This window comes from Homo sapiens, chromosome 19, assembly GCF_000001405.40.
Source record: "Homo sapiens chromosome 19, GRCh38.p14 Primary Assembly".
NCBI classification, from domain to species: domain Eukaryota; kingdom Metazoa; phylum Chordata; class Mammalia; order Primates; family Hominidae; genus Homo; species Homo sapiens.
This window is the reverse complement of record NC_000019.10, coordinates 23,524,663-23,549,881: the sequence shown is the minus strand read 5'-3', so window position 1 is coordinate 23,549,881 and position 25,219 is coordinate 23,524,663. Positions and strand designations below refer to the sequence as shown.

Below are 25,219 nucleotides of genomic sequence, written 5' to 3'. Positions count from 1 at the left end.
AACCAAACAGGCTTTGTGTGAGCAATAAAGCTTTTTAATCACATGGGTGCAGGCAGACTGAGTCCGAAAAAGGAGTCAGCAAAGGGAGATAGGAGTGGGGCAGTTTTATAGGATTAGGGCAAGTAGTGGAAAATTACAGTCAAGGGGAGTTTTTCTCTTGCAGGCAGAGATGGGGGTTACAAGGTGCTTAGTGGGGAGGTTGTGAGACTCATTGTCCAGGAGAAGGAATTTCACAAGGTCAATTGACCAGTTAGGGTGGGGCAGGAATAAATCACAATGGTGGAATGTCATCAGTTAAGGCAGGAATTATTTTCACTTCTTTTGTGGTTCTTTAGTTGCTTCAGGCCATCTGGATGTGTACTTGCAGGCTTGGGCTCAGAGGCCTGATAGCTTGTATACAAGGAACACATGAAATTTTGCTGTGGGCTGCCCGTGGAGTTGGAGGGCAGCAGCGCGGGTCCTGGGGTGGCTGTCATGTTGCACTTGCCTAGGCGCCACTTTTTGCCTGTGCCACTTTTCGCTTGTGCTGCTCCCTTCCCCCACCACCAGGCTGCTGCTGGCTTGGCAGACCTTCCCGTGCACGCCTTCCACCCCTCCTTAGCAGGCTAGGTCTGGCATGCTGGGCCTGGCTCCCCATCCTCGACACCACACAGGCTGTTTTTGGGAGCATTTGCTGGCACCATGTCTGTGAGCTTCCCTGCTGCCAAACCTTTTCTTCTGCCCGCTGCCTGCTTGGCTGCACAGCTGTGGCCTCTAATGCCTTTTCTCAACTCTTTTTTTTTTTTTTTTTTTGAGACAGAGTCTTGCTCTGTCACCAGGCTGGGCCAGGTCGAAGTGCAATGGTGCAAACTTGGTTCACAGCAACTTCTGCCTCCCGGGTTTTCAAGTGATTCTCCTGCCTCAGCCTCCTGAGTGGCTGGGATTACAGGCGTGTGCCACCACTCCCAGCTAATTTTTGTATTTTTAGTAGAGACAGGGTTTCATCATGTCGGCCAGGATGGTCTCGATCCCTTGACCTCATGTTCTGCCTGCCTTAGCCTCCCAAAATGCTGGGATTACAGGGGTGAGCCACCGTGCCTGGTCTCTCAACTCTTTATGTAACTGGTTTCCTCATTGATTTTACATTACTGGGCAGGCTAATAGCTCCCGTTCTAATGCTACTTGCTTAAGACAGGGTTGCATTGCTGTAGTGTATCCCTCATCTTTTTTCCTATTTATTTGAGGAGGAGGCTTAGGTAAAACCTCTGTTTCTTCTTTGTTATTTTGGGGCTGAGGGAGAAGGAGGTGGTAAGGCAGGTGATGATTCCTCCTTTTTCCCCTTTTTAGGCTCTTCTGTGTATAATGGGACCAAGGCCACCCTCACTAGAGCCCATAATATTAAAGATGATACTGGGATGCGTTACCCTTGCACATGGTGTTGCTTAAGATTTCTCCCCACTTGTTCCCAGAGCTCTATGTCCAGCATGCCTTCTTTTGGGAACCGTGGGTTATGGGTTGCAACAGTTTGCATTAGGTCCCTTAATTGAGCCTTCAAAACTGAGGCTCCACTAGCTTTAAGCAGCTATTTCAATGCTTTTATATACTATTTCCGCTGAGCTGGTAACTGTTGTCCCATGATGAAACCTCAGCCTGAACAATCCCCGCCAAACTTGGAAATCTCATGTGGGCACCAATGACTTACCGATTACTCACTGACTGTGCAGTTCCTTTTTTACCATTGTTTGGGGGTCCGTCGTGCTCCCTGCACAGCATTCCTCACATGGGGCACCAGCTGCAGGGGTTTGTCCTGCAGACCCTGACACAATGACAGATGAATAATGTACACTGACACAGATATTGTGCTTCTCAGATCGGCTGAGGGTCCGGGCCACTTACAGACTCCAAGGAGAGGGCTGTAAAGAGTTGCAGCCATGGCCCTGACTCACTGGCCCTGCTGGCATTTATTCAGCACACATTAAATGACAAACGCTTTGAGTCAACACTAATAGAGGGTAATCAACCTGGTCGCCTTCCCCTCTAAAAGAGCCATCCTGCCCACGAGCTATCAAAGGTTAGTTTTAGAACCACATTTGTGAATAAGTTATTTAGGTAAACTAGTCTACATTCCTATGTATCTATGCCCTGAACTTTTAGGAGAATTCAGCTGCCTTCAGCCAAACAGTTTATGCAAATCCCCAGGCCTTCCACAAGGGTTTGTCTTTATTTCCTATAATTTTACAATTTCTCCCACCATCCTGACTGAACCCCCACATAGTTTTAGTTAGAGATAGGGTTTTACCATGTTGGCCAGGCTGATCTCTAACTCCTGACCTCAGGTTATCTACCTGCCTCCACCTCCCAAAGTGCTGGGATTACAGGCATGAGCCACTATGCCTGACTGACATATTTTTTGACTCGGCACCTAGGTGATGTCGCTCTTCTCCACTGCTTAGACTCTCAAGAAGATATTGTAATGTGTCACTGTGCCTGACACCTAGGTGATGATACTCTCTTCTCCTGCCTGGGCCCTGCATAAATTGCATATTTTGACATATCACTGGGTTCAGCAAATAGCTGATGCAACTGTCCTGCATTTTCTCTGTACATGGGGGTATTAGGACATATATGTTCATTCATCACCTATGTGATGTGACTGCTCTCTTCTCCCTGGTCCCTGCCAAAAGGCAAGATTGGGACATATCACTGGAACAAGAACTTAGGTCATGTGACTCTTCTGTTCCGCCTGAGAACTGCATATTTGGTACTGTGACATTTTACTGAGCCAGACTCCTAAAATGGGAGGCTCCTGCCTCAGTCCTGGTTAGGGCTGCAAAGCAGGTTGGATCATGTTTTTTTCTTTTTTTGAGACAGAGTCTCGCTGTGTCACCCAAGCTGGAGTGCAGTGGTGAAATCTCAGCTCACTGCAACCTCCACCTCACGGGTTCAAGCAATTCTCCTGGCTCAGCCTCCTGAGTAGCTGGAACTACAAGCACGTGCCACCATGCATGGCTAATATTTTATATTTTCAGTAGAGATGTGGTTTCACCATGTTAGCCAGGTTGGTCTTGATCTCCTGACTTCATGATCTGTCCACCTTGGCCTCACAAAGTGTTGGGATTACAGGCATGAGCCACCATGCCTGGCCTAAATATTATGTTTCTTGTAAGCACATTCTGCCTATTTTTAGAATTGTCACCCTCATACATAGACAGAGCCCACTGATGAGGTCATGATTCTCACATGCAGATCCAGTCCACAGTTGAAATTGTAACTATCATATCTGAACATCTGGCCAGTTGAGATGCTGACCCTTTTTTTTTTTTTTTTTTTTTAACATGGAGTTTCCCTCTTGTTGTCCAGGCTGGAGTGCAATGGTGTGATCTCTGCTCACTGCAACCTCCGCCTCCCGCATTCAAGCAATTCTCCTGTCTCAGCCTCCCAAGTAGGTGGGATTACGGGCAGTGCCACCACACCTGGATAATTTTTTTTTTTGTATTTTTAGTATTTCTCCATGTTGGTCAGGTTGGTCTTGAACTCACGACCTCAGGTGATCCGCCTGCCTCAGCCTCCCAAACTGTTGGGATTACAGGTGTAAGCCACCATGCCCAGGTGAGATGCTGGCTCATTTCTAAACCCAGCTCATTGGCAAGTGAGGACTCTCCTGTCTGGACCCTGGCAATATGAGAGATGTTGACTCTCATAGTTAGACTTAGGACCACATAAGATTAAGAATCCACAGAAGTACAAAGGTCTCAGAGCAGATTGCAACTCTCCTGCATACCATATAAAGCACCCAGGTGGTAAAAAGAGTGTACTGGCAAGGCTGAGCACACAGGTGAGATTGCGACAGTCATATTCACACCCAGTTAATAGCAAAGATTGTCATCTACTTAAATGAACACAACCCACTTTTGAGGTTCTGAATGTTACTTTTGGAGGCAGTTGAATGTTGGAAAATGGACTCTCGGATTCTTTCCATAGTTGGGTTGGTGACTCTTTAACCAAGATTCAGTGCACCTTTGTGGCTGTAACTTTAAGGCACAGAGTTTGCAAGAGAAATTGAGGCTCATGCACAAACCCAGTCCACCATTGAGACTGACTCCTGTATTTAGACCCAAAATGGAGGAGGTGTTGACTCTCATCCCTTCACTCGGGACATGTGTGTTATTGTTAATGTCATCACAGGACCTTCCTACAGGTGTGATTGTGACATACACCTCAGCCCAGCATCTGAATGGTTTGACTCTCTTCCCTGGGCCCAGCTCGCAGTGATATATCCCTGGAACCAGACTCTATTCTGCCTTGTAAAGCCCACAGGGGTCATTGTGACATATTGCTGAACCTTGCACCCAGGTGATGTGAGTCTCCTCTTTGGCCTTGGTGCTGCCCACATGTTTATTGTGACATATTGCTGGGTCTCACACTTTGATTATGTGACTCTCATGCTTGTGCCCTACCTACATAGGCCATTGTGACATATTGCTAAGTCCATCAGCCAGGTGAGGTAATGCTTCATCCTGGACCTTTCTACAGAGGGCATTGTAAGATACATCTTTCCAATCACCCTGGAAATGTGACTTATTTTTCCTGCCTGTTCCCCAATGACTGGGGGTATTGGGACATATTGTTGGGCCCAGCACCTAGCTGATATGACACTTTTCTTTCCTTTTTTCTTCTTCTTTTTGACGGAGTTTCACTCTTCTTGCTCAGGCTGGAGTGCAATGGAGTGATCTCAGCTCACTACAACCTCTGCCTCCCAGGTTCAAGTGATTCTCCTACTTCAGCCTCCCGAGTAGCTAGGATTAAAGGCATGTGCCACCATGCCCAAATAATTTTGTATTTCTAGTAGACATGGTTTCTCCATGTTGGTCAGGCTTGTCTCGAACTCCCAACCTCAGGTGATCTACCTGCCTCAGCCTCTCAAAGTGCTGGGATTACAGGCATGACCCATTGCGCCCGGCTGACACTTTTCTTTTTTTAAGTTTCTGCTCACAAAAGAGATTATGAGATACGACTGTGCCTAACAGTAAGGTGATATTACTTTTTTTGCTTTGGCTGTTCCCTTAGAAGGCATTGGGACATACTACTGGGCCCAGTACTAAGATGATGTGAGTCCTCTGCCTGAACCCTTACCACAGAGAGCATTGTGACATATTTCTTGACCCATTACAATCTCTCCTATAGACCAAGCTCAGGTAGATGCCCTTTTTACCTATGTGAGGTGACATTCCTCTCCTGCCTTGGCCATGTCCACAGAATAGAGAGGGACTTATTGCTGGGACAAGTAAAACAGTGGTGTATTATTCTGCCTGGTCCCTGCACACAGGAGTCACTGTGACATATGTTTGGGCCTCCCACCTAGATAATGTGACTCCTTTCTTCTGGGGTTTGTCCACAGTGGGAATTGTGATATGCCACTTGACATAATTCCTATGTGATGTGACTCCTCTTCATTCTTGGCTTCTTCCAACTGGGGTGATTGGAACATAAAGCTGAGCCCAGCACCTAGGCTATGTCTCTTCTCTTGTTTTTGAGACCTACCCACAAGGGACATTGTGACATATCTCTAGGCTTCTCACCTAGGTAATGTGACTTGTTTGCCTAGGCCATCCCCTCAGGGGTATTGTGAAATACTGCTGGACCAAGAACCTAGGTGATGTGACTCTCTGCTACTGCTTGGGGTGTGCTTAAGGGGAAATTGTGATGTGAATTTAGGTGCACCCTGCACCTAAGTGATGTTACTCTCCTCTCCTGCCTGAGACCCACATGCATCATGTATTACAACGTTATCTCTGGATCCAACAACATGGTGATGTGACTTTCCTGCATGGGCTCTCACACAGAAATATTCTAACACATGTTTTTGTTCATTATCTTGGTGATGTGACTTTTCTATTCTGCTTGAGCATTGCCAAAAAAAAAAAAAAAAGATTGTAACAGATCACTTGACCTAGCACCTAGGTGGTGTGACCCTCCTCACTTGCCTGAGACCTGCATATTTTGGTTATTGTGACATATCACTGAAACAAACACCTAGGAGTTGGAAGGCTTCTGCCTGAGGCCTTCCCACAGAGTGCTTTGGGATGTATTTTTTTAACCATCACCTGGGAGATGAAATCCTTTACTTCTGCCTGCATTCTGCCATAGAGATGACTGTGACATATTGACAGGCCCAGCAACCAGGTGTTTTGTCTGTCCTTTCTGGGCCTTGCCCACAGCGATCCTTGTAACATATCTCCTGGCCCACCATCCAGGTGATCTTACTCTTCTTCCTGTGCCCTACTTTCAGGAGAGGATTGTAACATCTCTGGTTGAGAACCCTGTGATATGACTCTCCTGTCTGGTGCATGCTCTCAGGGAAGATTGTGACATAACCCTGGCCCAGCACACAGTTGATGTGACTCTAGTGCTTGTTCTTTACCCACAGGTGGAATTGTGACATATAACTTGGCCAAGCACACAGATGTACTGAGGACTTTCATACCTCGAAGAAGCCAGTAGGAGAGATCATGTTGCTCATAGCTATGCTTAGGAAAACAAAGATGATCCTGGGTCTTCTTTCTGTATAAAAGTCATAGAGAATTACCACTCTCTCACATCTGTAAAGCCCTAGTGTGTTATAGAGAATGTCATAACAGGGTCCGGTATGCAGATGAGATTGTGTTTCTCCTATGCACACCCCACCCACCTTTAGAATTGTCACCCTCACACATGGACAGAGCTCACTGGTGAGGTCCTGAATCTCACATGAATCCATTTCACAGTTGGAACTCTGACTGTCATATGTGAACATCTGGCCACAGTTGAGATGGTGACTTTTTTTTTTTTTGAGATGGAGTTTCCCTCTTGTTGCCCAGGCTGGAGTGCAATGGTGTGATCTCAGCTCACTACAACCTCTGCCTCCTGGCTTCAAGCGACTCTCCTTCCTCAGCCTCCCAAGTAGCTGGGATTACAGGCACCTGCCACCACGTCCAGATCATTGTTTATATTTTTAGTAGAGATGAGCTTTCACCATGTTGGTCAGGCTGTTCTCAAACTTGTGACCTCAGGTGATCCAACTGCCTCAGCCTCCTAAATTGCTGGGATTACAGGCATGACCCATCATGCCCAGCTGATGGTGACTCATTTCTAAACCCAGCTCATAGGAAGGTGAGGACTCTTATCTGGACTTAGCCAATTAGAGGGATGTTGACTCTGGGCTTAGAACCAATGAAAAGAATCTGGATTTCCTTCTTGTTTGAAGATCACAGAGGATCACCACTCTTGCATATTGTATAAAGCCCTCAGGTGACACAGAGTGTCATAGGAGTGCACAGCACACAGGTGAGATAGTGTCTCTTGAATGCACACTCAGGCAACAATAAAGATTGTCATTCTCCCACATAAGCATATCTCACTGTTGAGGTTCTGGAGCTCACACATGGAGTCTGTTGAAAGTTGGAGAATTGACTCTCATATGTGGATCTGGTCCACAGGTGGGCTGGTGACTCTGACCAAACTTCAGCACACATATGAGGCTGTGCCTACACTGAGAGAACACAGTCTGCAGAAGAAATTGTGGCTCTCTTGCAAAAATTTTGTCAGCTATTGAGATTGTTACTCATGTATTTAGACCCAACATTACAGGAGGTGTTGACTCTCATATCTAGAACATGGACATGTATGGAATTTCTAATCTTATTCCTGGACTTTCAGGTATGATTGTGTCTGCTATGCATTTTAGTGATTTGACTCTCCTGCCTTGGCCCAGCCCACAGATGAGCTTGTGACATATATCTTGACTCTTCACCTCAAAGATGTGACCCTCTTTTCCAGCCTTGGTGTTGCCCACAAGTGTCATTGTGACATATGCCTGGGCCGTCCACCCAGGTGATGTGAGTCTTTTTTCTTCCCTTGGCACTGCCCACATGGTGCATTGTTACATTTTGCTAAGTTCTGCACTCGGGTTATGTGACCCCGCCCTTTTTTTTTGCCTAAGCCCTGAATATTTTCCATGTTAGGACATATTACTAGATCCAACACCTATAAAATAAGAGGCTTCTGCCTGGACCCTTTCTACAGTGGGGCTTCTGACATATCTATGCATCAGTCACCTATGAGATGTGACTCTCCATTTTTGCCTGCACTCTGCACACAGGAAAAATTGTGAATTATCACTAGGCCCAGGTGCCAGGTGATGTGTCTCTCCTGCATGGGTCTTGACCATATAAAGCATTGTTACCTGTTGCTGAACTCAGCACCCAGGTGATGTGACTCTGCTGCCTGTGTCCTACTTTTAGGAGAAGGTTGCAACATATTCCTGGCTGAGTATTAAAGTGATGTGATACTCCTGTTTGGTCCCTGCCCTCAGTAAAGATTGTGATGTATTCCTGGCCAAAAACCTAGGTGATGTGACTCTCCTTCTCTCTGTCTATTCACAGATGGGATTGTAAAATATATTTTGGCCTAGCTCACAGATGCAATGGTGATTCTCGTACCTCAAACCATCTAGTAGGAGAGATGCTGTCTTTTATAGCTAGGCCTAGTGTTGTAGTTATGATCCTGGGTCTTCTTTTTTTTGTATAAAGTCATAGAGAATTGTCACTTTCTTGCATACTATATAAATTTCTTGTAGTACAGAGAGTGTCATTCCAGGGTTCAGCACACAGGTGAAATTGTGGCTCTCATGTGTACACCCCACCAATTGTTAGGATTGTCACCCTCACACATGGATGGAGACCACTGGTGAGACCCTGAATTTCACACAGACACAGTCCACAGTTAAAATTGTAACTGTCATATGTGAACATCCAGCCAAAGTTGGAATGATGACTTATTTCTAAACCCAGTTCATTGGCATGTGGGAATTCTATCTGAATCTGTGAAAATTTTATCTGGGCTTAGGGCCAGAGTGAACACAGTTTACAGGAGGAATGAAAGCTCTCATGCACCAATCCAATTCATTGGTGAGATTTTCACTACCATACTTAGACCCAACATAGAAAATGTGGTGACTCTCATACCTAGAACTGGGACCTGTGCAGGATTGTTAATTCATTACTGGAATTTCCTGCGGGTATGATTGTTACATATGCCTATGTTCAGCACCTGAGTGGTTTGATGTTGCTGTCTGGGCCCAGTCCAAAGGTAAGATTGTGATATATCACTGTATCCAGCACCTCAGTGATTTGACTCTCCTCTTTTTGGGGGGACCCCACAAATTTTGGGTATTGTCAATTGTTGCTGAATCCTGCACCTGTTGAGACCAGCTCGGTCATGGAGACCCTAACCCAGCACTAGAGGAATTAAAGACACACACACAGAAATAGAGGGTGTGGAATGGGAAATCAGGGGTCTCCCAGGTTTCAGAGCTGAGTCTCAAACAGAGTTTGAACCGCACATTTATTGACAGAAAGCCAGTGATAAGCAAGATTAGCTAAAAGCATTCCTTATGGGAAACAAAGCATTCTCAGCAAGCAGCAGAGAAACAGGCTCTGGCTGATTATCTGCAGCAAAAACATGCTGTCAAAGCACAGGCCACTCTGCTATCATTTGTGGTTTGGGTGGTTTTTTGCTCTGGGCAGGGCCAGGTGTTCCTTGCCCTGCTCCAGTAAACCAACAACTTTTAGCAGTGTGCATGACAGCCATCATGAGCATGTCACATTGCTGCAGAAATCCTGTTTATGGCCAGTTTCTTTAAGGCCTGTTTATGATAGGCTTAGGGCTTGCAACCAACAAGTCCCCCTTTATGTTTCTGCAAAGCAATAAAGGCATAGGCAGCTTTGTCATGGAGGGCTACTTCTTGCAGGATTCGGGATCCACATCTACAGACTATACAAAGACAACACAGATTAAAAGCACAATCATCATTGAAATCACAGAACTTCCAAGTTTCTTTTTTATTATTATTATACTTTAAGTTTTAGTGTACATGTGCACAACATGCAGGTTAGTTACATATGTATACATGTGGCATGTTGGTGTGCTGCACCCATTAACTCATCATTTAACATTAGGTATGTCTCCTAATGCTATCTCTCCCCCCTCCCCCCACCCCACAACTGGCGCCAGTGTGTGATATTCCCCTTCCTGTGTCCATGTGTTCCCATTGTTCAATTCCCACCCATTCCATTTTAATGGGCTAATAGCTGCTAACCTGTCCACAGCTCCTTCAAGCACTTTAGTTCCTGGTATTAGCATCAGATGTGCCTGAGAAGCTTGAAATACTTGTTCCTTCAGTTTTGCAATATTCAAAGATAAATTTCCAGTATGACCTTTTAAATGTTTCTTAATTCTTTCCCACTCATGCTCTGATTCATTACAAGGGTGAGGAGTGATACAAAAGTCAGAATTATTCCAGTCGCATTTTAGCTGCATTCTATATTCTAAACTAGCTATTTGATCTCTTAGCCACATTACAGTATGTCAGAGATCATTGATTTGATTAACTATCTTTTGGTCTATTTTAGTTTGAGAGTTCCACAGCAGAGTAGAATTCTTTTGCCATTTATTTACAAAATCTGCTGTTTGCACTGATGAATGTAGTGCAACTCCAGCTGCTGCAGCAGTAGCTGTGACAGTGATCAGTCTTATAATAATCAAGATTAAAGTAACAATGAAACACTGAGAGCATCTCAGAATTTTCTGAAGAATTTCAGTAATATGGAGAGAGAGAGAGGCTTCCTAAGGATGGGAAAGCTTCACTGGTAACCATACTCCTTCTTGAGCTCTCACTACTAGGATAGAATGAATAGTACTAAACAAGGAAGAGTTCACACAAGAGAACAATCTACATTCCTGGTAAGTTACATGATAATTAGAGATGTCAAACTTTAGATCACCCATTACCAACAGAAAAGGAGGGTGAACACAACTTTGTATTCACATTGTATTGTTTTCAAAAAGTTCTAAAATGTAATTAGGATTATATTCTGATGGCATAGTATATTTTCCTTCCCAAATCTTGATCTTATTAAGAGCTGTTAATAGTTTCCACAAATCCTTATGTTTAGCTCCCAGAGTGAGCCATATCATTTGAGGTTGAGGTGCCACTATACTGCCATGTTTCCAGATAATAGGAACTCTTGCCGCACTTCTTACCATTTCTACCATCTGACCATTTTGTTCAGACCAGCTGAACATAGTGTGGCCATGGCACACAGACTGAGAGGTGCAATTCAAGCTAAACGTCCCCTTAGAGGACTAATCAATAATGATTCCATAGGAATCGTTGCGCATCACCTCTGCCTGTTCTGCAATGCAATCTTCCCAAACAAGTATGTTCATTTCTTCTGGTCAGGTTTAATTCTGTTTACAAATAGGTTTTTGAGGGTGGTATGCCTCAGTTATAGGAGCAGATTTATTATGGTAAATGCTGAGACCAGAAAGCACGTGTAAATGCATCATAGAGTGATTACATCCAGGCATTATTGCCAGCCAAGATTGATAAATATGCCCAATAAGTATAACTGTTCTCTGTGTTAGCCCTTGCTGAAGGAATACTCATGGCAATGGTGATCACTGCTATCATAGCTATCATTAAATTACTCACCGTGCCTGCTTTCCTCAGGTTTTCTTCCACCATCTGTGACAGCTTCTTGATCTGTCCCCAGGTAGGTGGCTGTATTTGATGGGTGTTGCTCATGATAGTTGGGGTCCTCCTCAGCATCAGTCTTGACATGACTGCAACCAGGGGGTCCTTGGGATCCTCCCAGAATCTCTTCCTCAGCATCTGGCTCATGGTAAGGTTTCAGGTGTTTTGATGGTATCCAAATCGGTTGCTGGAGAAACATAAGCATACCCTCTACCCCAAGTTATTATTTTACCTATTTTCCAACTTTTTGTTATCAGATCTCTCCACCAAACCAGTTGTTCTGCTTCTGTCATTGCAACTGGTTTCTGTAGATGCTGTTCATCTGCTGATAACATCTGGCCTTTGGGCAGGCTCAAAAAATTTAAGGTTAATAATGTTAGATTCAATTGTATATATGAGGTGTCCCATAGTCCCTGTTTATCCCCCTTTTTGCTTTTGCAACAGCTGTTTCAATGAGAGATTCGTTCTTTTCACTATGGCTTGTCCTTGAGAATTATATGAGATACCAGTAATGTGTTTAATATTCCATATAGAGAAAAATGTAGCTTGAGCTTTGCTCTAGCTTGGGGCATTGTGCATTTTAACTGAAGCTGGAATGCCCATGACTGTGAAGCATTGCAGGAGATGCCATTTAACATAGGCAGAAGATTCCCTTATTTGGCATGTAGCCCAAATAAAGTGAGAAAATGTATCTACACATACATGTACATAAGCCAATTTACCAAAAGAAGGAACATGAGTGACATCCATTTGCCGAAGAGAATTAGGTACCAATCTTCAAAGATTAACTCCTGTAAAAGATGTAGAATGCACCATTTGGCAAGTTGGACATTGTTGAATAATGGCTTTATCCTCTTTCCAAGTAATACTGTACCTGTGTTTGAGACCAGAGTCATTAACATGGGTTAAATTGTGAAAGTGTCTAGCATTAGATATTGCAGTAGCAACTAGGCAATTAGCCATCTGATTCCCTGCAGTCAAAGGTCCTGGAAGAGGTGTATGAGCTCTAATATGAGTAATGTAAAAAGGATGCATTCTATTCCTAACTGCTGTTTGCAATTGGGTAAATACAGTCATTAGTTGTTCATCTGTATGAAATCATAACTGAGCATTTTCAATTAATTGTGTGGAATGAACCACATATGAAGAATCAGAAATTACATTGACAGGCATCTCAAAAGCAGTCAGCACCTCAATTACAGCTACAAGCTCCACTTTTTGAGCTGAAGTATAGGGTGTCTAGAAAACTTTACTTTTTGATCCAGAATAAGAAGCTTTACCATTAGTAGACTTATCTGTAAAAACATTTCCAGCACCTTCAATTGGTTTAAATTTAGTTATTTTAGGGAGAATCTAATTCATTAATTTTAAAAATTAAAATAATTTTGTCTTTGGAAAGTGACTATCAAGAACACCTATGAAATCAGCTAAATGGTTTGCCAATTAAGACTATTTATAAAGACTTGTTGTATTTGTGCCTCTGTAAGAGGGACGATAATTTTTCCAGGATCATATCCATGCAATTTAATGATTTGAGTCCTCCCATTTCCTATCAGAGTAGCAGTTTGATCCAAATAAGGAGATAGAGTCTGTGAATTAGTATGTGGAAGAAAAAGCCATTCTACAAGATCTTGCTCTTGAACAATAACACCAGTAGGTGAATGCTGAGTTGGAAGAATCAATAAGTCTAAAGTCTTTTCTGGATCTATTCTATTTATTTGAGTTTTATGCACTTGCTTTTTAGTCAGCTGTAACTCTGTCTCAGTCTCATTTATTAATTGCCGAGGGCTAGTGAGATTAGGATCTCCTCTAAGGATAGAAAATAGATTACTCATGGCATAGGTAGGAATGCCTAGAGCAGGTCATATCCAATTAATGTCTGCTAGTAATTTTTGAAAGTCATTCAATGTTTTTAATTGATCCTTATGTATGGTTACTTTCTGTGGCACTGCTGTAGTGTCATTTACTAAGGTCCCTAAGTAGGAGTAAGGAGTAGTAGTCTGAATTTTGTCAGGAGCTATAATTAAACCAGCTCAAGAAACCGAGTTTTGTAAGTGATAATATTGGAATAATATTTCCTGAGTGGGGCAGCACAAAGCATATCGTCTGTATAATGAATAACGTAACACTGTGAAAATTTTTTACAAGTAGGTTCAATTGCTTGTCCTACATAAGTCTGACAAATTGTTGGACTGTTTAACATGCCTTGTGGTAAGACTTTCCAATGAAAACGCTTAGCAGGCTGCAGATGGTTTACCACAGGAATTGTAAATGCAAACCGTTCACAGTCTTGCTCAGCTAAGGGGAGAGTAAAGAAACAGTCTTTTAAATCTATGACTATTAAAGGACAATTTTTTGGAATCATAGCTGGAGAAGGCAATCCTGGCTGTAATGTTCCTATAGGTTGTGTAACTGAATTAATTCTCCATTTACCTGATTTTTTTCTTAATAACAAAGACTGGAGAATTCCAGGTGGAAAATGTTGGAGCTATGCATCCTTTTTCTAATTGTTCGGTAACTAAATTCTCTAAAGCCTCCAGTTTCTCTTTACTCAGTGGCCATTTTTCTATCCAAATTGACTTATTTGTTAACCATTTTGAAATTATAGGTTCTGGAGGCTTAACAATGGCCACCATCAAAAATGATATCCTAAACCCTGATGAGAATTTTGTCCTCCCACTTGAAGCAGTTTCTTTAACACTTGTAAATTTTTCTTAATCCCATGCCAGGTACATACCCCATTTCTTGCATCATATGCTAACTTTGAGGGCTATATAATTGTTCTGGAATTAGAACTTCTGCTCCTCATTGCTGTAATAAATCTCTCCCCCATAAATTTATAGGTAGAGAGTTATAATTGGCTGAATAGTCCCAGATTGTCCATCAGGTTCTTCACAATGTAAAATATAATTACTTTGATATGCTTCAGGGGCTTTACCAACTCCAGCTATGTTAAATTGAGAGGGTTGAGTTGGCCGTGCGGATGGTCAGTGCTGTAGAGAAATGATTGAAATGTCCACTCCTGTATCTACCAAACCTCTAAATTTCTTTCCCTGAATAGTTATTTCACAGGTAGGATGCTTATCAGTAATTTGATTTACCCAGTAGGTGGCTTTCTCTTGTTTATTTTTTCTGCCAAATCCTCCTGTCTGTTTAGTTTCATTTTCCCCCATTTCCACATATGACACAATCAGAAGCTGTGCTATACACTCTCCTGGCTCTGCTTTCCAGGGAACAGAAGTAGATATAACATTTTGAATTTCCCCATTGTAATCTGAATCAATGATTCCTGTATGTACTTGTACTCCTTTTAAATTTAAACTAGACCTACCTAGAAATAATCCTACCATCCCTGCTGGCAACATCTGACTGGAGACAGCAACACTCTTTAACAGTCCCATTACAAAAGTAGAACCTGGTCCATATTGATTAATACCTTGTTTAAATTCTTTAAGTATTTTAAAAGGAAAAGGCTCACACATAGCCATAATATTTCCCTATTGATCAGGTGGGTATATTCTAACAGAGAACTGCCAAGCATCCATATCACCCTCTCTAGCTTGCTGGATTCCTGCCTGAATAGAACTGAGAGCGGTCACTCAAGGTGCTGCTCAGTCACTGGGGCAACTACTTTTTGCCCAGTGTCCTCGGGAAAAGAAAGATCTGGAGGGTCAGGCCACTCTTTTTCTTCAAAATAATGGGGTGCAGAAGGCTAGGGATGAACCTCTTCCTCCTTTGAGGCTTTAGCTTTAGCTGGCAAACAAACCTGCTCTGTTACCTCTTCTGTTACTTTGTTATACTTTCCTTCCTCCTCATCATTATTGTGAAAATGTTCCAAGGTGGAACGAACCAGAGCCCACACTTGTCCATTGTTACCCTGATGCTTCTGAGCTCCCTTTCTTACTCACCATGGGGATTGATTAAGAGTACTCAGGTGGCTCCCTCTCCCTCTTCCTCTCCCCATGGTCTCCCTCTCCCTCTCCCCACGGTCTCCCTCTCCCTCTCTTTCCAAGGTCTCCCTCTGATGCCGAGCCGAAGCTGGACTGTACTGCTGCCATCTCTGCTCACTGCAACCTCCCTGCCTGATTCTCCTGCCTCAGCCTGCCGAGTGCCTGCGATTGCAGGTGCGCGCAGCCATGCCTGACTGGTTTTTGTATTTTTTTCGTGAAGACGGGGTTTCGCTGTGTTGGCCGGGCTGGTCTCCAGCTCCTAACCGAGAGTGATCTGCCAGCCTCGGCCTCCTGAGGTGCTGGGATTGCAGATGGAGTCCCGTTCACTCAGTGCTCAGTGTTGCCCAGGCTGGAGTGCAGTGGAGTGATCTCGGCTAGCTACAACCTCCACCTCCCAGCCGCCTGCCTTGGCCTCCCAAAGTGCCGAGATTGCAGCCTCTGCCCGGCTGCCACCCCGTCTGGGAAGTGAGGAGTGTCTCTGCCTGGCCACCCATCATCTGGGATGTGAGGAGCCCCTCTGCCCGGCTGCCCAGTCTGGGAAGTGAGGAGCGCCTCCTCCCAGCCGCCATCCCGTCTAGGAAGTGAGGAGCATCTCTGCCCGGCCGCCCATCATGAGATGTGGGGAGTGCTTCTGCCCCGCCGCCCCGTCTGGGAGGTGAGGAGCATCTCTGCCCGGCCGCCCCGTCTGAGAAGTGAGGAGCTCCTTCGCCCGGCAGCCGCCCCATCTGAGAAGTGAGGAGCCCCTCTGCCCGGCAGCCGCCCCTTCTGAGAAGTGAGGAGCCTCTCCGCCTGGCAGCCACCCCATCTGGGAAGTAGGAAGCGTCTCCGCCCGGCAGCCGCCCCGTCCGGGAGGGAGGTGGGGGGGCAGCCCCCGCCCGGCCAGCTGCCCCATCCGGGAGGGAGGTGGGGGGCAGCCCCCGCCCGGCCAGCCGCCCCATCGGGAGGGAGGTGGGGGGCGCCTCCGCCCGGCCGCCCCTTCTGGGAAGTGAGGAGCCCCTCTGCCCAGCCGCCACCCTATCTGGGAGGTGTACCCAACAGCTCATTGAGAACGGGCCATGATGACGATGGCGGTTTTGTGGAATAGAAAAGGGGGAAATGTGGGGAAAAGATAGAGAAATCAGATTGTTGCTTTGTCTCTGTAGAAAGAAGTGGACATGGGAGACTCCATTTTGTTCTGTGCTAGGAGAGATTCTTCTGCCTTGGGATGCTGTTGATCTATGACCTTGCCCCCAACCCTGTGCTCTCTGAAACATGTGTTGTGTCCACTCAGGGTTAAATGGATTAAGGGCGGTGCAGGATGTGCTTTGTTAAACAGATGCTTGAAGGCAGCATGCTCGTTAAGAGTCATCACCACTCCCTAATCTCAAGTACCCAGGGACACAAACACTGCGGAAGGCAGCAGGGTCCTCTGCCTAGGAAAACCAGAGACCTTTGTTCACTTGTTTATCTGCTGACCTTCCCTCCACTATTGTCCTATGACCCTGCCAAATCCCCCTCTGTGAGAAACACCCAAGAATGATCAATTAAAAAAAAAAAAAAAAGAAAAGTCCAGGAGGGAAAAAGCCTTAAACCATCATTTCACAATTGTGCTTCTAATTCACCATGATAAAAACAGGAACAATATGGCAAATAAATAAATGTAATTCACCTGTAAAAAAAAAAAAAAAGAAAAATTTTATTTTGAAAACCCTAAAAAAAAAAAAAAAGAGTACTCAGGTGTCCTCCAACTTAGTTCTATGTTCTCCAACTGTCGCTCTGGTGACACACTGACCTGGGTTTGAGCCTCCACGTTGGGCACTGCTTGCCATGACCAGCTCGATCGTGGAGACCCTAACCCAGCAGTGCTAGAGGAATTAAAGACACATACACAGAATATAGGGTGTGGAGTGGGAAATCAGGGGTCTCACAGCCTTCTGAGCTGAGAGCCTTGAACAGAGTTTGACCCACACATTTATTGATAGAAAGCCAGTGATAAGCATTGCTTCTATAGATTATAGATTATAGATTAGCTAAAAGCATTCCTTATGGGAAACAAAGGATTCTCAGAAAGGAGCAGAGAAACAGGCTCTGGCTGATTATCTGCAGCAAAAACATGCTCTCAAGGCACAGGCTGCTCCTGCTATCATTTGCAGTTTGAGCAGTTTTTCCATCCAGGCTGGGCCAGGTGTCCCTTGCCCTGCTCCAGTAAACCAACAACTTTTAGCAGTGTGCATGACAGCCATCACAAGCATGTCACATTGCTGCAGAAATCCTGTTTATGGCCAGTATCTTTAAGACCTATTTATGATAGGCTTACGGCTTGCTACCAACATTGCACCCAAGTTATGTGACTCTCTCAAATGTGTCTTACATGTTGTGTCATATTGGGGCTCAATATATCACATTAGACATTGTTACATTTTTCTGGGTTTAACACCTAGGTGATGTAACTTTTTTTTCTGGGTCTGCCTACAGGGGACCTTGTGACATAACTCAGTGCCCATCACCATGGTGATGTTACTCTTTTCTCCTGCCTGGTCTCTGCTCAGAGAAATTGTGACACATCACTGGCCTAGCATCTAGGTGATGTGATTCTCCTCTTTTTTTCAGGCTCTGCATATTTGGGTATTGTGACATATTGCTAAACTTAACACCTAAGGGATGGGAGTCTCCTACCTGTGCTCTTCCTACAGGGGCATTGTGACATGTCTCTGCATTCCTCACCTAGGAGATGTGACTCTCCTACCTGCACCCTTCCTACACGGAAAGTTGTGGCATATTGCTGTGGCCAGCAACCAGATGATGTGTTTCTGCTTCCTGGGTCTTTATTACAGGAAAGATGGTTGACATATCACAGGGCCCAGCATCCAGGTAATGTGACTCTCTTCTGCTGGTCCCTGCTTACAGGGAAATTGTAGCATATTGCTACACCCAGCAACTAGCTTATGTGACTCTTCTCTTCTTTTAGGTTTTGGTGTCAGGGGACATTGTGACATATTGCTGGGCCCTGCACTGACAATTTGTGACTCAACTGCCTGCAATTTGCCCACTTGGGCCATTGTGACATATTGCTGAGTTTAACACTCAGGTGATGTAAATTTTATGCCTGGGCCTTGGCTACAGGAGGCATTTTAAAATGTTTTTTGTGGCTGGGTACGGTGGCTCATGCCTGTAATCCCAGAACTTTGGGAGGCCGAGGCTGATGGATCACAAGGTCAGGAGTTTGAGCCCAGCCTAGTCAACATGGTGAAACCCTGTCTTTACTAAAAAAAAAAAAAAAAAAAAATACAAAAAACAGCCGGGCATGGTGATGGGCACCTGTAGTCCCAGCTACTAGGGAGGCTGAGCCAGAAGAATCACTTGAATTCAGGAGACAGAGGTTACAGTGAGCCAAGATCGTGCCACTGCACTCCAGCCTGGGTGACAGAGTGAGACTCCATCTCAAAAAAAAAAAAAAAAGATATCTCTGGCACCAGTCCCACAGGTGATATGACTCTCTTGTGTTACCAGGTCTCTGCTCATAGGGAGAATTGTGACCTTTCAAAGCATGTAGCTGATTTTTTTCTGTTATTTTTTAGTTTTTCCTGTGGGAAAAATTGTACAATATTTACAATATTACTGAACTAAGCACCAAAGGGATATTACTTTTTTTTTTCTTGGACCTGCACACATAAGACATTGTGACATATTGCTGGGCCCTACCCCTGATGATGCGAGTTTTCTGTCCATCAACTATTTTATGTGACTCTCCTCTCTTATCTTCACTTTGTCCATGGTTAGATTATAATATATCTTTGGGCCTGGGTCATGCTAACAGAAGTGAGAGTGACTTATTGCTGGGCCCAGCACACAGGGGATTTGATTCTTCTTGGTTCCTGCCCAAGTGGTCATTGTGACATATCTCTGGATGGCCTAAGTGATAGGTGTCTCCTTATCTTTCTGGACCTGTCCACAGTAGGAAATGTAACGTATCATTGGGCCCAGCACCTAGATGATGTAACTCATCTTTTGACTGGACCTTGCATATTTTGCATATTGTTATATATCACAGAGTCTGACATTAGGGGATGAGAGGCTCCTGCCTGGGTCCTGCCCACAGGTACCGTGTGACATATTTTGGCATCCACCACCTATGAAATGTGACTCTCCTCACCTACATGTACGATGCACGAAGAAAAGATTGTAGCATGTCAGTGGGATCAGCCACCAGGTGTGTGTCTCACCTCTCAGGGTGTTGCTCAAAGACAGCGTTGTAACATATCACTGGGCTCAGCACCCAGGTGATGTGACTTGTGGCCTATGCCCATCTTTTCTCTCTTTCTTTCTTTCTTCCTTTCTTTTTTTGACAGAATCTCACACTGTCATCCAGGTTGGAGTGCAGTGATGTGATCTCGGCTCATTTCAACCTCTGCCTCCTGGATTCAAGTGGTTCTCCTGCCTTAGCCTCCCAAGTAGCTGGGATTAAAGGCATGCATCACCACAACAGGCTAATTTTTGTATTTTTAGTGGAGGTGGGGTTCCAACATGTTGCCTTGGCTGGCAGGTGATCCACTTGCCTTGGTCTCCCAAAGTGCTGAGATTGCCAGCATGAGCCAGAGCACCCAAGTCTGCCTTATAGGAATTGATTTTAATGCATCCCTGGCTAAGCACCTAGGTGATGTGTTATGACTCTCCTGTCTGGTTCTTGCCCTCAGAAGAGATCGTGACATACCTTTAGACCACCCCCAGGTGATGTGACCCTTCTGCTCACTCCCTACTCACTAGTGTAATTGTGACATATATCTTGCCCCAGCTCGCAATTGCTATGATGATTCTCACACCTTGAACAAGGCAATAAAAGAGTTACACTCAGCTGGATGCAGTGGTTCACACCTGTAATCCCAGCACTTTGGGAGGCTGAGGTGGGTGGATCATGAGGTAGAAGTTCGAGACCAGACTGACCAAGATGGTGAAACCTCGTCTCTACTAAAAATACAAAAATTAGCCAGGCATGGTGGCAGGTGCCTGTAATACCAGTTACTTGGAAGGCTGAGGCAGGAGAATATCTTGAACCCGGGCAGCAGAGGTTGCAGTGAGCCGATATCACGCCACTGCATTCCAGCCTGGGTGACAGAGTGAGACTCCTTCCCCCACCCCCCAAAAAAAGTTACACTCCCTCCTAGCTAGTGTTAGGAAAATGAACACGATCCTGTCTTTTCTTTTCACTGAGTTCATAGAGAATTGCCACTCTCTCAAATATTGTACAAAGCCCTTGGGTGGCACAAAGAGTGTCATCAAGTGACAAAAACACGGATGATATTGTGTTTCTTTTATTTATTATTTATTTATTTTTTGGAGATAGAGTCTCACTCTGTCACCCAGGTTAGAGTGCAGTGGCACAATCTTGGCTCATTGCAACCTCTGCCTCCTGAGTTCAAGTGATTCTCCTGCCTCAGCCTCCCAAGTAGCTGGCACTACAGGCACGTGCCACCAAGCCCAGCTAATTTTTTTAGGGGTTTCACTCACCATGTTGGCCACACTGGTCTCAAACTCCACCCCTTAGGTGATCCACCTGCCTCAGCCCCCCAAAGTGCTGGGATTACAGGTGTGAGCCACCATGCCCAGCCCAAGATTGTGTTTCTTAAAAGAACATCCTGCCACACATTACAATTGTAATCTCTACATAGACAGAGCCCACTGGTGAGGTCCTAAATCTCATATGCAGATGCAGTCCACAGTTGGAATTGTGACAGTGATGTGCAAACATACAGCCAGAAATGGCTCATTTCTAAAGCTACAAATGATGACTCACTTCTAAATGTAGGTGATAGGCAGGTGAGGCACCTCCTATATGGATCAGCCAATTGGAGAGATGTTGACTCATTCCTGGGCTTAGAGCCACATGTACTATCATGGGTCCATACCATCACAAATGCCTTAGAGTGGATTGCTACTCACAAGCATATTGTATAAAGTGTGGGGGATCAGTCAGAGTGGTGGAAAAATTATAGGGAAAGATGCAAACCTTCTGAAAGGTCAGAAGGTACTGCAGAGCACCAGGGGAGAATAGCTGAAGGCAGCTGTTTTATAATCCTGAGACAGAGGAGAAGGGGTAGATACAAGGGAGTGTGAGGGAATTTATCTTAAAGAGACTTCTTTACATATTTACTTGTGTTCACCAGGAACTGACCTTTGATCATCTGCATGACGTTCTCTGAAAGGGGAACAATATATGTTAATTACCTGCAGGTTGTGTTGGTTCCAGGTTGTCAGCATTGTGCTTGCATGGAATAAAAGCAAGCAGCTCCAGTTTTTTGGATTGCACTCTGGCCACTAGAGCTGGGCAATCCCCTAGCTGCTCTTACACTGCATACCTGTGTCTGAGTACTCATTTCAACTGTCTGCCAGGATCTGTGGGACAGACCCAGCAGGTGGTGCCCCATGTAAGAAGCAATGAAATGCATCATGATGGAACCCTCAAAAACGAAAGTGAAGTTACTGCACAGTAAGTAATTGATGCCCGCTGGGGATTTCCAAGTTTGGGGGATTTTTCAACCTAGGGTTTCATCATGAGACAACAGTAATCAGCTCAACAGCAACAGTATATAAAAGTATTGAAACAACTGCTTAAAGCTAGTGAAGCCTCGGTTTCAAAGGCTCAATTAAGGGCCCTAATGCAAACTGTTATTTTCTGTAACCAATAATTCCTAGAAGAAGGCACACTAGACCTAGAGCTCTGGGAACAAGTGGGAAGAAATCTTAAATGACATTATGCACAAGGACAATGAGTCCCAGTAGCATCTTTAATGTTCTTTAATGTTATGGGCCTTAAGTTAGGACTGCTTTGGCCCCACTCTACACAGAAGAGCATAAAATGGGAAGGGAGGAAGAATCATCACCTACCTTACTATCTCCTCCTCTCTCAGCCCCGCCATTACCGAGTGAAGGTGCCACAGAGGAGACATAGATTTTCCCTGAGCCCCTCCCCCAGTAAATTGAGAAAAAGACAAGGGATACACTACAGTTATGGGACCCTGTCTTAGGCAAGCAGCATTAGAGGGGGAGCTCTTGGCTTGCCTGATGATGGAAGATCAACAAGGCAATCATGTACATGAACCCATTGCTTTCAAGACTTATAAAGAAATAAGAAAGAGCATTAGAGAAAATGGAGCCACTAGCCCATTTATGAAAGGATTAATTGAGGCCATAGCATATAACTTCCACATGACCCCATGGGACTGGTTAGTGCTAGCTAAAACAACTTCAGAGGCCAGTCAATACCTCCTCTGGAGGGCATAACATGATGAGTTATGAGAACAACAAGCTAACCAGAATCAATTGGCCAGGCAAAACATAACAGCTGCTATACTCCAGGGGAGGGGTCCCTATGTAAATGTACAACAACAATTAAATTTTTCCCCCAGCCTATGCACAGAGTCAGTGCACTCACAGGGCCTGGGACCAAATTCTCAAAGGTGGAGTTCAACAGTGATCTTTTCTAAATGTATGACAAGGGCCCCAGGAGCCATTTGTTGAATTTATCAATCATTTAACTTAGGTCATAGTGAAACGTGCCCATTCCACCCTTAAGAATACGCTTAAAATCAAAAAAGGGTGAATATGAGTAGGGACCTTACAACACTACTAGCACAAGCCTTATTTACTCTTAATTTCTTAAATTTAGATGATACATTTCAATGAGCCATAGATAAGCACTTTGCAAAAACCTCTCAAAATAGAAAGCCTTCAGTTTTATGGAAAGGTGTAAATAGTAATGTACGGTGTGGTCCAAATGATTTGCTAACGTGGGAAAGGGGATATGCTTGTGTTCACAGCCCCTTAGGTCCTCTTTGGATTCCAGCATGATGCATCAAACCTTACCACGGCATGACTAGGGCCCAACCTGCTACCAGAAATAAAGGAAATGACGATGCAGAACCCACAACCCTGGATGATGTGGCTTCCTTGGATGACACAGGCCCCAGACATTACCTGGGGAATGCTGAAGAACACAACTCAGGAGGCTGAACAAATCTGCTTCAGACACAGATACCATTCAATCCATATAATTTGTTCTTTGCTATGCTTTTTATTCCACATTGCAACTCTTATAGAATACTGATTCTTCTTATTCTCTCTTTTTGCCTGCAACCCACACCTGCTATAAACTATTGGGCCCATCTTCTAGATCTGCCTTTCTTACGGCATTTTACTTGGGAAGGTACCCCCTTCTCAGCCTCTGACAACGTGACCAATTGGCTGGGAGGTATTGACTTACCCCCGGTGGGGTCCCTCAGTAATGGCACACATTGGACTCAGGTGCCAAGTAACATTACATATCAATCCTTGATTGGAAAAGAATAATATTGATTATACTCATGTTTGTCTTATGTTATTTACTGGTTCTAGGGTGCAAAGCTGGAACACAAACTGTAACCATTGCACCAGTCAAACCTGTCGCTGCTCAGATCTGTATGCTTCAATCAACAAAACCTGATGCAAAAAAACAGAAAAAGGGGAGATGTGGGAGATTGGTCAGAGTGGTGGAAAAAGGATAGGGAAAGAACGCAAATTTTCTGAAATGTTGGAAGGTCCTGCAGAGCTCCAGGGGAGAATAGCTGAAGGCAGCTGTTCTATAACCCTGAGGCAGAGAGCAAGCAGTAGGTACAAGGGAGTGTGGAAGAATTTATCTTAAACAGGCTTATTTACTTATGTTGATCAGGAACTGACCTTTGATCATTTGCGTGTGTGACATTCCCTGAAAGGGGAACAATAAATGTTAATTACCTGCAGCTTGTGTTGGCTCCAGGTTTTTGGTATTGTGCCTGCACTGAAAAAAGCAAGTGGCTCCAGCTTCTTAGGGCTGCACTTTGGCTACTAAAGCCTGGCATTCCCTTAGCTGCTCTTACACTGCATACCTGTGTCTGAGTACTAATTTAATCCATAGACCAGAATCTGTGGGACACACCTGGCAATAAAGCCCTCAGTAATACATTGAATGCCCTTACATGACCAAGCACACTGGTGACATTGTGATACTGGTACTCAAAACCAGTCAGCAGTAACTACGCCATCCTTTTAGATAAACACAACCTACTTCTGAAGTTCTGAATCTCAACCCTGGAGGGAGTGGAAAGTTGCAACATTGACTCTCGTATGTGGATCTGGTCCACATCTGGGCTGGTAATTCAGACCAAGATTCAGCACAACTCTGAGGCTATGATTTTACTGAGAAGACCCAGTCTGAAGGAGAGATTGAGGCTCTTATTCAGGAATCCATCCACATTGAGATTGTGATTTGTGTACTTAGACCCAACCTCCAAATGGTCTTGACTCTCTCTTTTTTTTTTTTTTTTTTTTTTTTTTTTTTGGAGCAGAGTCTCACTCTGTCACCAGGCTGGAGTGCAGTGGCACGATCTAGGCTCACTGCAAGCTCCACCTCCTGGGTTCAAGCGATTCTCCTGCCCCAGCCTCCCGAGTAGCTGGGACTACAGTGCACGGAACCATGCCCAGCTAATTTTTGTATTTTTAGTAGAGACAGGGTTTCACCATGTTGGCCAGGATGGTCTCGAACTCCTGACCTTGTGATCCACCCACCTCAGCCTCCCAAAGTGCTGGGATTACAGGCATGAGCCACCATGCCCGGCCTGGTATTGACTCTCATACCTAGGATGGGAATATGTGAAAAATTATTCATGTTATCCCTGAGCCTTTCTGCATGTGTGATTGTCAAACATGTCTCTGCACATAGCCTGAGTGA

At 44.6% G+C, this 25,219-nt stretch overlaps 1 long non-coding RNA gene across 1 annotated transcript, besides 3 other annotated features; it reads left to right on the top strand.

The window, feature by feature from the left end:
• Positions 16,486-17,099: an enhancer, noted in NCBI's record as "NANOG-H3K27ac hESC enhancer chr19:23715585-23716198 (GRCh37/hg19 assembly coordinates)". NCBI's record gives its function as "activates a minimal SCP1, AML or CMV promoter by ChIP-STARR-seq in naive H9 embryonic stem cells {active_cell/tissue: H9 hESC(naive)}" and the evidence as "EXISTENCE:reporter gene assay evidence [ECO:0000049][PMID:30033119]".
• On the top strand, positions 17,204-24,251 carry LOC105372337 (uncharacterized). The gene is made up of 3 exons (XR_936485.3): positions 17,204-18,351; positions 21,868-21,964; positions 23,295-24,251. It is a non-coding gene; the product is annotated as an uncharacterized LOC105372337 (long non-coding RNA).
• Positions 21,976-22,095: an enhancer, noted in NCBI's record as "active region_14392". NCBI's record gives its function as "activates an Ori minimal core promoter by ATAC-STARR-seq in GM12878 lymphoblastoid cells {active_cell/tissue: GM12878}" and the evidence as "EXISTENCE:reporter gene assay evidence [ECO:0000049][PMID:35858748]".
• Positions 24,115-24,616: an enhancer, noted in NCBI's record as "NANOG hESC enhancer chr19:23708068-23708569 (GRCh37/hg19 assembly coordinates)". NCBI's record gives its function as "activates a minimal SCP1, AML or CMV promoter by ChIP-STARR-seq in primed H9 embryonic stem cells {active_cell/tissue: H9 hESC(primed)}" and the evidence as "EXISTENCE:reporter gene assay evidence [ECO:0000049][PMID:30033119]".